Here is a 15,609-nt window from a genome sequence, read left to right as displayed (position 1 = left end):
TGAGCCCAGGAGTTCAAGGTTGCCGTGAGTTATGGTGGCGCTACTGCACTCTAGCCATGGTGAGAGCAAAATCCTGTCTTAAAAATTAAAAAAAAAAAAAAAAAGTAAACCTGAAGATGTGACTGAATTGCTGCAATCTCATAATCGAATTTTATCAGACGAGGAATTGCTTTTTTTTTTTTTTTTTAGAGACAGAGTCTCACTCTGTCACCCAGGCTGGAGTGCAGTGGCATGATCTCGGCTCACTGCAACATATGCCTCCCAGGTTCAAGAGATTCTCCTGCCCCAGCCTCCTGAGTAGCTGGGACTACAAGTGGGTGCCACCACGCCTGGCTAATTTTTGTATTTTTAGTAGAGACAGGGTTTCACCGTGTTAGCCAGGCTAGTCTCAAACTCCTGACTTCAAGTGATCCACCCGTCTCAGCCTCCCAAAGTGCTGAGATTACAGGCGTGAGTCACCACACCTGGCCTGAGGAATTGCTTCTTAGAAATGAGCAAAGAAAGTGGTTTCTTGATGGAATCTACTCCTGGTGAAGATGCTGTGAACATTGTTGAAATGACCACAGAGGATTTAGAATATTACATAAAGTTAGTTGATAAAGCAGCAACAGAGTTTGGGAGGATTGACTCCAATTTTGAAAGAAATTCTACTGCGGGTAAAATGCTACCAAACAGCATCACATGCTACAGAGAAATCTTTTGTGAAAGCAAGAGTCAATTGATGCAGCAAACTTCATCATTTCCTTATAAGAAATTGTCACAATCATCCCAACCTTTACCAACTACCATCCTGATCACGCAACAGCCACCAACATTGGTGGCTCCCTCCACCAGCAAAAAGATGATGGCTTACTGAAGGCTCAGATGATCATTAGCATTTTTTAGCAGTAAGATATTTTTAATTAAGGTATGTACATTGTTTTTTTAGACATTGTGCTGTTGCACACTCAGTAGACTATAGTGTAGTGTAAACATAACTTTTCTATGCACTGGGAAATTACAATATTTGCTTTATTGCAGTGGCCTGGAAGTGAACTCACAATATCTCTGAAGTATGCCTGTACAGAGTCAATAGTTAATTTTTCTTTTTTCTTTCTTTCGTTCTCTTTTTTTCTTTTCTTTTCTTTTTTTTTTTTTTAGACACGGTCTTACTCTGTTGCCCAGGCTGGGGTACAGTGGTGCAATCAGAGCTCCCAGTAGCCTCCAACTCCTGGGCTCAGATGATCCTCCCACCTCAGCCTCCTGGGTAGCTGGGACTGTAGGCACGTGACACAGTGCCTAGTGGAGAAAAATTTAAAAGATAGAAAGATCTAATACGTAACTGAATGATGATAGGCAAGAAGGAGGGTATCCTGAGTAAAGGAGGCATCTGTGATGACTGGGTTTCTAGTTTACTCAGAGTATTAGTGGTCTCATAAACAAACTGGGAATAGAAGACGAAGGACAATATTTGTTTGGAGGTAGATGGATCATATGATTTAGAAATTCAGGCTTTCTAAAGAGATTTCAAGTTAGTCAATTCGTTTGAATTTGTGTCAGATCTTTTTTTTCTGGTTAACCATTACCCTATCAGATCTTATAAGCCAAAAAGAGCAAATGACCTAAACAATAAATTTTTTGAATTTTTAATTTTTATGGGTACATAGACGGTGTATATATTTATGGGGTACATGAGATATTTTGATACAGGTTTGCAGTGCATAGTAATCATATCATGGAGAATGGAGTGTCCGTCACCTCAAGCATTTATCCTTTGTGTTACAATCCAGTTATACTCTTTTAGTTATTTTTAAATGTACAATTATTATTGACTATAGTTACCCTGTTGTGCTATTAAATAATAGGTCTCATTCATTCTTCCTAACTATTGAGATTTCTTTAAATATTTGAATTGGAACATTGAAACTCTAATGAGTTGACTCACTTTTAAAAATCCAAATAAAAATTTAAAAAAAAATAAATAAATGGACTGATAATTAAGACTTAGTATGCGCAAGATTCTGAGTCAGGTTCTGTGGAGGATAAAATATGAACAAGTTAGTCATTCACCACTCCATAAATATCTATTGAGAATCCCCTAGATGCCAGGTAAAGTATCTGCTGTATCTAATGTACCAGGCCAGAGTATCTCAGCACTTTGGATATATCATTAAACAAAACAGACAAGATCCCTTCCCTAGTCCCTCTATAATCCAGCGCAGACTCAATGTTCAAGAGATTAAAGCTCTCCAAACATAAAGGAGAAAATAAATATTAAAAGTAACTTGGATCAAAAGACAGTTACTTACTAGAGCTGCGTGTGATTCAAGATCAGCAGAACAATTTGAATTCCAAATCTTGGCCCTGGTGCAGTCTAATTAAAGCTTGTAAACCAGTCTTCACTACAAAATCACCTCCTTTAAATTCCTACAGTTGCAGAAAGGGTCTTGGAATCTCAGATAAGATAAAGAAATGTTATGGAAAGCTTTGCTGGCTGTTTTCTTCTTCCAGGAGGCTTCTGGCTGCTCGAAATAATTCTTTACTGACACCTCTCTAAGAACACCTTGGTTAGTTATAGCACATGGTAACAGTGTTAAAAGTTGGCATGCCCAGATTTTCCCTTGTGGAGAACCAACCATCCTAGTTGGTGGAGAGTTTAAATATAAAAAGAAAATACCTGGTGAGCAAAATAGTTTTGAGCACATAGTTCATGAAACAAAGCAGCAAATATTCTATAATTTTAAAATTTAGCTGGGTGTAGTGCCTCACGCCTGTAATCACAGCTACTTGAGAGGCTGAGATGGGAGGATCACTTGAGCCTGGGCGGTAGAGGCTGCAGTGAGCTATGATTGCACCACTGCACTCCAGCCTAGGTGACAGAGCAAGACCCTGTCTCTGAATAAATTTTTTTTTTTTTATTTAAGATGGAGCAGGCCAGGCGCGGTGGGTCACGCCTGTAATCCCAGCACTTTGGGAGGCCGAGACAGGCAGGTCATTAGGTCAGGAGTTTGAGACCAGCCTGACCAATATAGTGAAAACCCGTCTCTACTAAAAATACAAAAAAATTAGCCGGGCGTGGCGGCGGGCACATGTAGTCCCAGCTGCTCGAGAGGCTGAGGCAGGAGAATCACTTGAACCCGGGGAAGTGGAGGTTGCAGTGAGCCAAGATCATGCCATTTTACTCCAGCCTGGGTAATAAGAGTGAAACTCCGGCTCAAAAAAAAAAAAAAAAAAAGATGGAGCAGTGTCTATTATTTCAAAGTTTTGTATAAAACCCTAACTACTAGATTGCACACCCTCATTTAACATACTAGCTTTCCAATGACATTTTGATCTCTGCAGTAGGAGTTAGTTGGGTAGTTCTTCCACATGGATTACATTCCAACCTAAAAATCATGTGCCTACTTCTTTTATAATGATAGGCCCCTGAGCTCTTTTAATGTTTTAATTTTTTACTTTCTTGAGGCAGAGTTTCTCTCTTGTCACCCAGGCTAGAGTGCAATGATGTGATCTCGGCTCACTGCAACCTCCACCTCCCAGGTTCAAGCGATTCTCCTGGCTCAGCCTCCCGAGAAGCTGGGATTACAGGCACCCACCACCATGCCTGGCTAGTTTTTGTATTTTTAGTAGAAATGGGGTTTCACCATGTTGGCCAGGCTGGTCTTGAACTCCTGACCTCAGGTGATCCGCCCACCTCGGCCTCCCAAAGTGCTAGGATTACAGATGTGAGCTACCGCGCCCGGCCACTGAGCTTTTTAACATTACATGTAAATAGTGTAATATTTTTAAATACTCTATTTTAAAGGTGAATATCAACAGGAAGATAAAGTTTGAGCTTAGAAGCCTGGCGCAGTGGCTCACAACTGTAATCCCAGCACTTTGGGAGGCTGAGGCGGGCAGATCCCCTGAGGTCAGGAGTTCGAGACCAGCCTGGCCAACATGGTGAAACCTTGTCTTTCCTAAAGATAGAAAAAGTAGCCAGGCACGGTGGCGCATACCTGTAATCCCAGCTAAGTTACTTAGGAGGCTGAGACAAGAAAATTGCCTGAACCCGGAGGTGGAGGTTGTAGTGAGCCAAGATCGCACCATTGCACTCCAGCCTGAGTGACAGAGTTAAGACTATGTCTCAAAAAAATAAAAATAAAAAAATAAGTTTGAGCTTAGAAATATAAGTCCTTCAGTTACTGTGTCTCCCATGGGCAGTGAAAAAAAATGGCAATTCCAAGTGAGAGCTTACATCAGGGCTAAGCTGTTGGTTGTCTTTCAAGTAAACCATGGATATACTGACTCATTTAGGAATGTCTGGGTCCCTCCTGCCACCCCTTCCACTGCCCCTACCCAGACTGTACACCCCGGGCAGCCACAAGTCCAGTTTATCCACCCTGAGAAATCACGTCCTCAGACACACCGACTATCTTCTCTCCCCTTGACTACTGTGGCAGCTTTGAGACTCTTGCCATCTGGTTTCTCTGCAGGGTTTTCTCCACTCTCCCTCTAATTAGGGCATAAATACGACCATGTCACTCTTCTCTGCTTAAGCTTCTGTGGCTCCCCACTACCCCTAGAATAACTTGGCATCTTTCTGATGGCTTATGCAGCTATTCACAGCCTGGGCCTGGCTGCCTTTGGGCAGTCTCCAGCCTCTCCCTCCTGTGTTCCAGCTCTTTTGGCCCTCAAACTTTGACCGGCTCAGCCTGGACTAGGCCCCCTTCCCTGTCCCAAACCCATTCCATTCATCACTCTGATCAAATCCTTTTAGTCCTTAAAAATGCAGCTCAAATGTCACCCCACCTTCACGGTTCCTGAATCTTGACTTCTTACCGAATTGACGTATCAATATTTCCTTTTATTCCTATATTAAAATTTAACCATACCTCAAATATTCCTATAATCACCATGTATCATGGTTTGTTCTGTAGTTCTGAAAATTAGACCAGTCATTTATTTTCCTCACTTTTTTGTGTATTTTTCTCTGTCTTCTTTTTGGAATAAATCAAGATACAGAATATGGATTTAGAATGCGAAGTCTCTAAGTCAAGGGAAAGGTCTAGGTCGAACAGTGGTGCCCTTCAACAAGTAATACCCTACATCTCAGCCAAAGAATCTATCAGTGAATCCATGGATGGATGCATGAGGGATCAGACAGCCCCTGTCCCACTATGTCTGGCTCTATGGAAATGTGGGACTGGTGACACCCTCCTTCTCACAGTATTATAAGTAAATGCAGCAGAGAGTCCACTCTTGAAGCTTGTGACTGGGAGGAAGAAAGCATGGAGAGGAAGTATGCATTCAGGTATCTTCTCATACCAACTAATACTTAAATTTGGAATTTTTTTTTTTTTTTTTTTTTTTTTTTTTAGAGAAGTCTCGCTCTTATCCCCCAGGTTTAAGTGCAATGGCTCAATCTGGCTCACTGCAGCCTCTGCTTCCTGGGTTCAATCCATTCTCCTGCCTCTGCCTCCCAAGTAGCTGGGATTAAGTCGTCTGCCACCATGCCCGGCTAATTTTTGTATATTTTAGTAGAGACGGGGTTTCACCATGTTGGCCAGGCTGGTTTCGAACTCCTCACCTCAAGTGATCTGCCCACCTCGGCCTTCCAAAGTGCTGGGATTACAGGCATGAGCCACTGCGCCCGGCCTTAAATTTGGAATGTTAATTTCTGCTTTCAAACTTTTCTTCCATATATTAATATTGTAGTATATTTTAGTATATTGAGACCCTGTCTCAAATAAATAAATATTTATAGGGTCTGGTGACAGCTCCAGACCCTATCTCAAATAGATAGATAGATACAGCCAGGCGTGGTGGCTCATGCCTGTAATCCCAACACTTTGGGAGGCCGAGGTGGGCAGATCACCTGAGGTCAGGAGTTCGAGACCAGTCTGAACAACATGGAGAAACCCCATCTCTACTAAAAATACAAAATTAGCCAGGCGTGGTTGCGCATGCCTGTAATCCCAGCTACTCAGGAGGCTGAGGCAGGAGAATCGCTTGAACCTGGGAGGCGGAGGTTGTGGTGTGCCGAGATTGTGCCATTGCACTGCAGCCTGGGCAACAAGAGCGAAACTCTGTCTTAAAAAAAAAAAAAAAAAAGATAGATTGATAGAGAAAAGGTTTACATATAATGTGAAAATATAAAAATTCACTTATTTTATCAATATAATTTTTAAATGATAATTTCCTATAATCTGCCCTCCCCTGGAAACCATACTACTGGTTTGGTATTTATAGTATCTAAATAATTTTGCAATGTATATGTCAGCTTACCAAATATTACTTATAACAATATGATTATACTGTATACTGGGGTTTGCAATTTAATAAATGTTGGATATGTTGCCATGGTACAGCTCTCTCAATATTTATTGGAATATATTTTCTTAGTTTCTTAACATTTTGGTAGCTTTTCAGTAGTGAAATTTAAGAGTGTATCAAACCACAGATGGACAGGTGTTGAGAGGGTTGCAGAGCCTAAGGTCAGAACCTAAAGTTTTTTATTCAATTAAGCTGAATGCTAGTTTAATTATCTGTTCATGAAAAGTAACAAACATTTCCTGGGTTGGGGGAAGGAGTATTTCAGAATAGTTGGGAGTAAGGGTTAGGGTGGGCAAAGATGGCAGTGTGTCTTCAGTAGTAGATAACAACCCTGAACAAGGTCAATGAACGGACCTGGTCCTATATTCTCCCACACAACTTGGGCTGTGGACTCCAGACAGCACAGCTGTAAACACCTATCTGGTATTAGTGTCATAATCAGCTATTGAGTCTTTAGAGACCCAGGAAATACTAGAACTGGTGGAGCTTCTGGGAGCATCTAGTTAGAGAGGGAGGTGCCTGGGGGCTGCCTTGGAACAACAGGGGTGAGGAGAGTTGTGGGAGAGTGTCAGGAGGAAGCCAGTCCAGAACTTCAACAAAGCAGTGACACTTCTGTTTCTATATCGAGATGTTTATTTCATTTTATTTATTTATGTTTTGGAGACAGGGTATCACTCTGTCACCTAGGCTGGAGTGTAGTGGCATGATCTCACTACAACATCTGCCTCCTGGGTTCAAGCAATTCTCTTGCCTCAGCCTCCCAAGTAGCTGGGACTACAGGCGCCCGCCACCATGCCCAGCTAATTTTTGTATTTTTAGTAGAGATGGGGTTTCATCATGCTGGCCAGGCTGGTCTTGAACTCCTGACCTCAAGTGATCCACCCGCCTTGGCCTCCCAAAGTGCCGGGATTATAGGTGTGGGCCACTACGCTTGGCCGAGATTTTTTGTTTTAGTTGGAAAGTGGATTGTGTTCTCTCCTCAAAAGTTCTAAACATTGACCTAATCCAAACTCCAGCATTTTTAGAGATGAAAAACACAACACCTTAGAGAAGTGATTCCTCCCATTGTCACATAGTAATTGACAGATAATAGACATTTAAGTCTCCTAACTTCAAACCCAGTGCATCAGGGTACTGTGAAGGGAGAGTTTACCTCCCTCACAAAGGAAGGAGGGTCAGGGAGGGGATGGGTGCCTAGGATTATTGGAGTAGTAAATCTAAAGAGGGATTGGGTGTAGAAAACGTTAAAGAACCAGTGCTCTCTAATCACATTGCTTTAAATATAATCAAAGGGGAAAGAGTAATTGGAGACCTTGGGAAACTGCAACCTATTATAAAACTTTATAATGCCTGTTAGCCCTAAGAAGAGCTTGGTATCTGCCTTGGGGCCCTTCCCTGGGGATGCCACAGACCCAGGTAATGGTAACTAGAATTTGCAAATGTTCAATGACCCACCAGGGTATAATGACCAATCGGGGATACAACAGAAATGTTTAAAATTGACAAGAAAGTAACACATTTGGCATAAACTTTCAGCAGTAACAAATTTGGAAAGAAACAAAATATCATTACAGTGATTCCTTTGGATATTAGTTTCTTCATCTGGGTAAGATGTAGGATCCCAAGGGTTTTGTGAACTCTACATTTGTATGATTGATTTTGTGATTCTTTTAGATACCTATCTACATAGTCAGAACAACCAAACTGCTGTTCTGGAATATGCTCGCATTGAAAACTAGAACTGCCACCCTATTTAATACTACATCTGCCAACTGCCCCTCAAATTTAGGTTAGATGTCATTTGTGATTATCAGAGCCTTTGATCTCTCATTTCTATTAAGAAACCTGAAAGACATCTAATCATTTAAATACATTCTTCCTAGATTGCTGGAACTTACAGTAGTTATAAATCCTTTCAAATGTCTGATACCAAGAGCAACTAACTCTTACCCTTAAAACTAAAAAGGAGGTCTTTTTAGAAGGGAAAAAATGAAGGCAAGGAGCAGAAAAGACCTCAGGGTCACTATATACACAACATGGAAGAACCAGGGATTAGCGCCAAAGTTGGCTTTGTACTGTGTCCTTTATCTCTTTCTACCAGACCCAACGCAGCTGGCTGACATTTGACAAACAAAATGCTGCCTCTTTATTTCTCTGCCTTTGGCATATTTCTGATTTTCTATTATCCTCTCCTCCATTAGGACATTGTAGTTCAGCTTGACTTTAGATTAGAAACAGACTTGTACAGGTATAGTATACTTATGAGGGCCTGAGAAGAATAATGTCTGAGAATCATTCATTCACTTAACTCATGTTTATTAAATTTGTCTGCTATGTGCCAGGCATCATTCTAGGTGCTGAGAATACAGTAGTGAGTCCCCAAAGTCCCCAGCTTCTAGGAAAGGAGAAAGACAACGAACGATAAACAAATAGACATGTAAATACCTGGCAATGCTAAGTGCTTTGCAGACAAATATTGCAAATGGAGGGAGGGTGATATTTTAGTTAGGGAGTTGAAGCCTTCTCTGTAGAGATGACCTTAGAGCAAAGACCAGGATGGAGCGAGGGAACCAAGCCCTGTGAATTTTTGGGCTTCCTTTCTCAACTGGCCCCTAAAGTGTGATCTGCAAGCATGAATATTCCACCTGGCTGAAACAAAAGGATGCTGGTTGGGGGCCTTGCTCTCCATTCTGCATAAGTTCACCCTTGACAATAACAACCCCTTTCAGACCAGACTAAAGTCTGTTTCATTGAGATTGAACCTTTGTAGGAAGCTTGCAACTGTCTCCACACTGCTTCATCACTAAAAACGCTTACAATGGGTAATAAACCATGACAGTACCTGTTGAAAATATAACAAAACGTATTTACAAGTAACTGCGTTAGAGGAAGCACATTTACAATGGCTGACATTTAATAGTGATAAGTGCTGCTATAGTTTGTAGTTGGAAGTATTTTGTTGCCTAATGTAGCTGTCCTTTAAAAGCTATTCCAAAAAGGGTCTGCCTGGCTTAATGTATTCACCTGCTGATACTCCCTTTATCATAATCATATGATATTTCAGAGTTTGATTTAAATCAATAATTGATTGCGCATTTCTCCTATAGGTAGGTAGCTGAAATCTTCCCTGAGGAAGCCCAAACAGAGTGAAGTAGGAAAAAGGAAATCTGACCTAGGTATTCATGGTTAATTTTACAGATCCACAGAGGAAAATGGTAACCTTTGAAGTCTTCCCACAAATCCCTAAACTAGGCCTAAGGCCAGAAGAGTTCTATATCAGAACGTTTTGGGAATCGTCTTCAAAACCGGAATCCATTTGGCCAATAAAGAGTCTATTTGAATTACAAATTGTGTTGTCCGAATCAGTGTTTCCAAACTAGTCTACCAGCAGAGCCACAACTTTTCTGTTTCTGCCACTTTAAGAGAGTAACAAAAAAAAAAAAAAAAAAAAAAAAAAAAAACTTCTCAGCTGCCTTACTTTGTAGCTGAGATAACAGAATTTGGCCACAGAGTGATTTACTTGACTGATCTATTTATGGCAACTTGTTTATGTATTTTTAAATCACAGTTACAATGAGCTATTGTTCACGTGTATACTGTAGAACCACATAGGTTGCAAATCAATCCCAAGGAATCCTGATGGTACAGGATTATTTTTTAGCTTAAAAAAAAAAAGATACCAAAGGAACTGGTGACCACTTTAAATTGCTTTTATTTACTGATATTTTACAAATTGATGAAGCTCTTAAATATTGCATTTTCCCCTTCATTCTCTTGGTATTTCTATCACCTTGTGATAAGGAGGCTATAGTGGAAACTAAAATTTGTAGTTCAGAAGAGATTAGACCTCTACTGATGAGTACTAATCTATCATTTTTTTTCTGGGCTTGCTTTGAGGATATGTTTTGCTTCTCTTGACCCTTTCTGTAGACAACTGAAGCCAAACTCCACTTTCTCTCAGTGTACCTACAAATAGCTCAGAAACAAGATTAGCTTCAGTATGGGACACTTCCTTGTGTTTGAATAATGATATTCACTTAACCTATTTGTAAAAACTCTCAGTAGTGTACTTGAGTTAGTACATCGCGTGACCTGGCTCCTTTTCTTTGCTGTTATTTACTGATAAAAATAAATCTCCTGCGCTAAGCAGTAGGAATCACTCCGAAATGCAGGGAAAGTCCTAAGAGAATTCATATGCTAATGAGCCCTTCTAAGTGAGAACTTGCTTAAATGTGCCATTTGCTGACATCATTGTTATGGGCAGAGTGGAGATGATTTCTTTAAGAGGTGGCCTTTCATATTCTCCCAGCGTTTCGTGGCCCGCGCGTGCACCTGCGGGAGGGGGAAGTTTACATAAGCGTCCTAGGGTATTTGCATCTTAGCGGCTTCACTCACTGGGCTCGGGAGAATGGAGCGGGCGGGCGGCGGTAGGTGCTCGAGCCGCTAGGCTGGCCAAGGGGGTGGGTAACTTTTCGAGGAATTGTGCGCGCGGGACCTCGTGGAGATCGGCCAGGGGCACGGTCAGCAGTGACAGTTCCTGGAAAGCGGGCGGCGGCGGGAGCAGGCTGGGCAGGCGCCGCCCGCGGGCGGGAGCGGGGAGCTGGGTCCGGCTGGGATCGAAGGGCGGGATCGGCAGGAAACGAAATGGTTACTTTTTTTTTTTTTTTTTTTTTTTTTTTTTTTTTTTTTACTGCGGGCTCTGATTACTTTTGAAGATCGCCGGCCCCAGGCGGGCTCCCGGCGCTGAGCGGAGACGAGTTTTTCTCCCCGCAGAGGAGGATCCTGGAAGGACGCGGAGCTGGGGCTTGGGGGATGCAGTGGCCTGGACGAGGTGACTCCAACCCGGGGGAGCAGAGTCCGTCACGCCGGCAGGGACCGAGGGTCTCTGCGGAGCTGGAGGACCTTTTGTGGGATGCCTCACGGCTGCTGAGGGGCTGCAGCGGGTGAGGATCGCCGCGCTGCGCCGCCAGGGAGCTCGGCGGGGACCGGCCGGGGGGGAAAGTGCGTCACGGCGGGGCGGGGGCGACCCCTCGCCCGCCAGGCGGGGCCAGCACCGGGACGCGACCCGGGGGCGCGGTCCGCTGCAATGTAGTGGGGACCCGGTGCTTGCTGCCCCACCCTGCTGGGGTCTCCTCCGGAAATGAGTGGGTGCGGGTGACTCGTAGGGCACCCAGCCCTCTGTTCCTTCGGGAGTCCTCCGCTCCCGCTCCGGGCCGCCAGCCTCCTTCAGACGCAGAGCGGGCGGGCGGCTAGTGCGCGCCGAGGGCTCAGGGGCCGGCGCCGCGAGGGGCTGCAGGCCGCGCTCGGCCGCTGTCCGGGCCGCAGGTGGGAGCCGCTGTCTGGGTCCCAGGGCTGGATGGCAGCCGGCGGCGGGGACTGAACGCGGGAGGGCTGCAGGGTGCGCGCCGGCGAGGGGCTTCTCGTTGGAAGCTGAGGGACAGACGTGGGGACCCGTGGCTGCTCGGCCCCACCGTCCAGCCGCAGGGCGAGTGCTGCTCCGTGGAGGTGACACGGCGCCAAGAGCGGCGCGAGGCTTTCTGCTGGAGGAGGGTAACGGGGAATTCGAAGGCGACTGTTCTATGCTGGAGGACAAGGGGCACTGTTCTCTCGGGGCTTCGCGTCGGCGCCGAGGAGGGGTTCGCTCGCTGCCTCTGCGTCCTGAGCTCGGCCTCTGGCTCCTGGGGCCGGGGACGCAGAGAGGGGCTGGAGCCGGTCGACCCACGGCCCAGGGCGCCCCCTCGCGGCCTAAGCAGCGGCCGCCGCCTGGAGCGCAGAGTTTGCGGGGCCCAGGGGGCGCCGACGCCCGCTCTGAGGCGTCTCTGCTGCTGCGGCGGCGGGGATGGGGACGACCCAGGGGACCCCCTGCAGCCATCACTGGCAGCCCCATCAAGAATTGGCCGGCTGAGTTTTCCCAAAGTACGGTGACATCCTTTCCTTCTCGCTTCCTCCAGCCCCATTTTTAAAAGCTCGGCCTTTCCCGTTAGTCTGTGTCCTTATAAGCCAGGCTATGTGTGGAATTTGTTTTTACAACTCGAGTCTTGTGACTTCTCAAACACTTTCTTGAAGTGTTTTCTCTGGAAACTTGTTTCAAATGGGTGCTGTAAGTTTCACAAAGAGGAGTGTTGTTCAGGAGCCAACAGGTGACGGGGCGAAACCTGAGTCTGTGTGTACATTGGAGTCAAGTCTGGCTGCCGTTTCCTCGGGCCACTGTTGAAAATAGAAATCCAAAAAATCAATAGAAGACTGAGGAGAACACGATTTTGAGAAAATATCTGCATCCCCCATTATGGAAAATAATGGGCTCATTAGAGCACCGCCTTGTGTGGTGCCCCTCATTCCATGGCATGCATTTTGGATTTTGTCTTTACATACTCGTGTGCGGATAATCTGACCCTAGAAGCGCCGCGCTGGCGGAGGACCAGGCTTTGTCGTCATGTTTCCTCCTTTTGTTTCTTACTGTCATGGAATGTACTTGTGCATGAAATTAGAATGCTTTGAAAGAGTTCCACATTTCCTCTTGGAAAAATGGATAGTTTCTTGACCATTGGGTGATGTGTGATAGCCCACTCAGCTGTTGGGAAATGTACAAGCTGGATGGAGGTTTACCTCGAAAATGCTGGACGGAGGTTTACCTGGAAAATACAGAAAATACTAAAGGGCATATGGCCTAATGCCACTAATTGCTCGTATGGAAAACTTAGTAAAGGAATGTTTCATAAACAATATCTCCTGATAACTTCATTATGTTTTTATTTTTCAAATAAGTGAAATTGAATTGGGCTTTGTTGGCAGTGACTTTGTCTTTAGTAGACAGTAAGCACTGAATGCCCCTTGAGTGTGTGAAACCTTTAAAGAAATGACAGTTTAGTGTCTCTTTTACTGGAAAATTCACATCTCGATTGAAGTTAAGGACATCCTAAACAAGGAAATGTGTATATCCATAAGGGTGGTATATTTTGTATTGTGAAAAGAATGGATGTGTGACATGTTTCTGTACTGCTAAATTAGTCTGTAGTTAAATTTAATTCACCTGCATATGTAGTCTGGGAGAATTGGAGTAGCTTTTGAATGGAGAACCTGTGATCTGCATCTTCCATGCACTAAGGCCTTGTTAACAAGCAGTTTAACAAAGAAGCTGTTAAGCAGTTTGTAGCCCACGGATGGCACTTAGCAGCAGGGGACACCTAGGGAATGTTGGCCTAACTGACTTCACAAATCAGTATCTGTTCTGGCTTTTGGTGATCAGAGGATTTCTAACTTCCCTGGGCATGTTCACACAAGAAATACTTTTTCATAGGGATCTTACAATGCCATGGTAGTCTTCATATAGGAACTAGAGTGGGATTGCATTGGAGAAAAAAATGTAATTAGGGATATGACCTTATACTTCATTTTCAATGGCAGGCCCTGACAATTACTGTTTTCTATTTGCATGATTTTGATTTGGTGACTTGGTTCAAGAAAATTATGAATAATAGGAATCATACCAGACCTGATATACAGTTACAACCTCAATATGTATCTGATTAAACTCATTCTCCTGAAATCCCTCAAATCCTCACTCCCCTTCTGAGTTGCCCTAAGGTACTTATGTATTGGTATGTCAATCACCTAATACTCAAAACTGTCTTTGGCCCAATTTCTTCCTTTCCTATTAGTTCCTTTTACTTTCCCTCCCCAAGTCACTATGTGTAAGCTTTCTTAGGGACAGTGTACTAATTGGCCCCTCTCAGGTTCTTTATCTTTTTCCTGACCATCACTACCATATTAATCTTCTTTAAGACCCAGAAGTATCTTGTGGCAGTCTCCATTCATGTCTTTTGCAGCTTCCCATTGCCTGTAGTGATAAGCCCACAGTTTTCTGCCTGAAATGTGTAATTCTTGAAAATAGGATTCAGACACCATTGCCATCTGTTGTTGCTTCTTTGGAAGAATCTGTCTTCTAGCAAAACCGTCCACTCTTCACTGCCTCTGGACCTTCATATACTGTGCTGACTTATTAAGCTCTTTACAGAAACATAGTTATGGCTCATTTATGTATATGTCAAGGTCAATCAAGATAATAATCCTTAGCTATCCTGGAAGCAGCATACAGACCAGTAGAAAATGAAATGATCCCCAAGTGGCCAAAATAGCATAACGAAATAATAAACCTTCTCTTTAGTTTGAATAACACCTTCTCACACTGTATGCTATCTTATTTCACCAGTGGTTACTGTGCTTATAGGAGAAGTCCTTAAGCCCTTGTCCATGCCATAATTACTACATAGATTTTTTTTTGGGACAGGGTCTTGCTGTATTGCCCAGGCTGGTCTCAAACTCCTGGGCTCAAGCAATCCTCCCACTTCAGCCACCAGGTAGCTGAGAGTATAGGCATATGCCCAGCTTCTGTGTACTTTTAGACAAACTTTTTCAAAGAATGGTTGCCTAATACCGGAAGCAACAAATTTTGAAAGGTTTGGAGGTTGTTGGCTGTGGGCAAAAGAGAAAGGCACCTTAATAAGAGACAGGTAGCAGGGATCAAAACATTATGAGAGCAGGGAGAAAAAAACCTACAAAAAGTTTGCTAGTTATCATAAATGTATGGGTCAGGGGCCATTCTGTTTCTTGAATCCCGAAGCCAGTGTTTTCTACTGTGCTCAAAATGAAAACAAATGATCAGCCGAAGGCTAAATCACATATAATTTTTACACGTGCCACCACGAAAGAAAGCAAGGAGATGAATAATGGAATTTTTTTTTTTTTTAAGATGGAGTTTCGCTCTTGTTGCCCAGGCTGGAGTGCAATGGCATGATCTTGGTTCACTGCAGCCTCTGCCTCCCAGGTTCAAGCAATTCTCCTGCCTCAGCCTCCCAAGTACTGGGATTACAGACATGCGCCACCATGCCCGGCTAATTTTGTATTTTTAGTAGAGATGGGGTTTCACCATGTTGATCAGGCTGGTCTCGAACTCCTGACCTCAAGTAATCCACCCACCTTAGCCTCTATAGTGCTGGGATTACAGGCATGAGCCACTGCACCCGGTGGCTACATTTCTTTCTAAGTTCTGGCTTTTAATGGAATAAATGTCAGTTGGCTCCTTTTGGCATTCCCCAGAACCGTTCAATAACAACTTTAAATATAAGGATGAATGAATGAATGCAGTGAATGAACCTAGAAAGTAAATTTCACAAAGGAACCCCTCATTATATCACTGTGTTATATGAATAAGGCCATACTTGAATTTGGGGAACAAGCTTTACCTAGAAAAACTGTCATGCTCCATAGACCACTACACATGCTGTGTGCGAATGTGTGCACGCACACACGCTATGT

General features: G+C 43.8%; 1 protein-coding gene across 17 annotated transcripts in view, besides 8 other annotated features; it reads left to right on the top strand.

Annotated features, from left to right (window-relative positions):
* Positions 1-15,609, top strand: part of PRICKLE1 (prickle planar cell polarity protein 1) — a 132,990-nt gene that overhangs the window by 94,752 nt on the left and 22,629 nt on the right. For 2 of the 17 annotated variants that reach the window (XM_047428334.1, XM_047428329.1), the window contains exons 1-2: positions 10,675-10,721; positions 11,010-11,125. The exons of 5 other annotated variants lie outside the window; for them this stretch is intronic. The gene's annotated coding sequence lies outside the window, so the exon portion shown is untranslated. Of the gene's footprint in view, positions 1-10,674; positions 10,722-10,984; positions 11,238-11,379; positions 12,211-15,609 lie in introns of those variants that run through there. 10 more of the 17 variants (XM_047428333.1, XM_047428328.1, XM_047428330.1 and 7 more) reach the window with 6 other exon arrangements.
* Positions 8,619-9,358: an enhancer, noted in NCBI's record as "OCT4-NANOG hESC enhancer chr12:42879439-42880178 (GRCh37/hg19 assembly coordinates)". NCBI's record gives its function as "activates a minimal SCP1, AML or CMV promoter by ChIP-STARR-seq in primed H9 embryonic stem cells {active_cell/tissue: H9 hESC(primed)}" and the evidence as "EXISTENCE:reporter gene assay evidence [ECO:0000049][PMID:30033119]".
* Positions 10,148-11,056: an enhancer, noted in NCBI's record as "OCT4-NANOG-H3K27ac hESC enhancer chr12:42877741-42878649 (GRCh37/hg19 assembly coordinates)". NCBI's record gives its function as "activates a minimal SCP1, AML or CMV promoter by ChIP-STARR-seq in naive and primed H9 embryonic stem cells {active_cell/tissue: H9 hESC(naive and primed)}" and the evidence as "EXISTENCE:reporter gene assay evidence [ECO:0000049][PMID:30033119]".
* Positions 11,243-11,502: a silencer, noted in NCBI's record as "silent region_4366". NCBI's record gives its function as "represses an Ori minimal core promoter by ATAC-STARR-seq in GM12878 lymphoblastoid cells {active_cell/tissue: GM12878}" and the evidence as "EXISTENCE:reporter gene assay evidence [ECO:0000049][PMID:35858748]".
* Positions 11,573-11,622: a silencer, noted in NCBI's record as "silent region_4365". NCBI's record gives its function as "represses an Ori minimal core promoter by ATAC-STARR-seq in GM12878 lymphoblastoid cells {active_cell/tissue: GM12878}" and the evidence as "EXISTENCE:reporter gene assay evidence [ECO:0000049][PMID:35858748]".
* Positions 11,773-11,892: an enhancer, noted in NCBI's record as "active region_6216". NCBI's record gives its function as "activates an Ori minimal core promoter by ATAC-STARR-seq in GM12878 lymphoblastoid cells {active_cell/tissue: GM12878}" and the evidence as "EXISTENCE:reporter gene assay evidence [ECO:0000049][PMID:35858748]".
* Positions 12,013-12,082: a silencer, noted in NCBI's record as "silent region_4364". NCBI's record gives its function as "represses an Ori minimal core promoter by ATAC-STARR-seq in GM12878 lymphoblastoid cells {active_cell/tissue: GM12878}" and the evidence as "EXISTENCE:reporter gene assay evidence [ECO:0000049][PMID:35858748]".
* Positions 13,107-13,718: an enhancer, noted in NCBI's record as "OCT4-NANOG hESC enhancer chr12:42875079-42875690 (GRCh37/hg19 assembly coordinates)". NCBI's record gives its function as "activates a minimal SCP1, AML or CMV promoter by ChIP-STARR-seq in naive H9 embryonic stem cells {active_cell/tissue: H9 hESC(naive)}" and the evidence as "EXISTENCE:reporter gene assay evidence [ECO:0000049][PMID:30033119]".
* Positions 14,032-14,232: a silencer, noted in NCBI's record as "peak1687 fragment used in MPRA reporter construct". NCBI's record gives its function as "represses an SCP1 promoter by STARR-seq MPRAs in K562 erythroleukemia cells {active_cell/tissue: K562}" and the evidence as "EXISTENCE:reporter gene assay evidence [ECO:0000049][PMID:32103011]".

The sequence above is a fragment of the Homo sapiens genome, chromosome 12 (genome assembly GCF_000001405.40).
Source record: "Homo sapiens chromosome 12, GRCh38.p14 Primary Assembly".
Classification (NCBI taxonomy): domain Eukaryota; kingdom Metazoa; phylum Chordata; class Mammalia; order Primates; family Hominidae; genus Homo; species Homo sapiens.
This window is presented reverse-complemented; position numbering and strand designations above follow the sequence as displayed.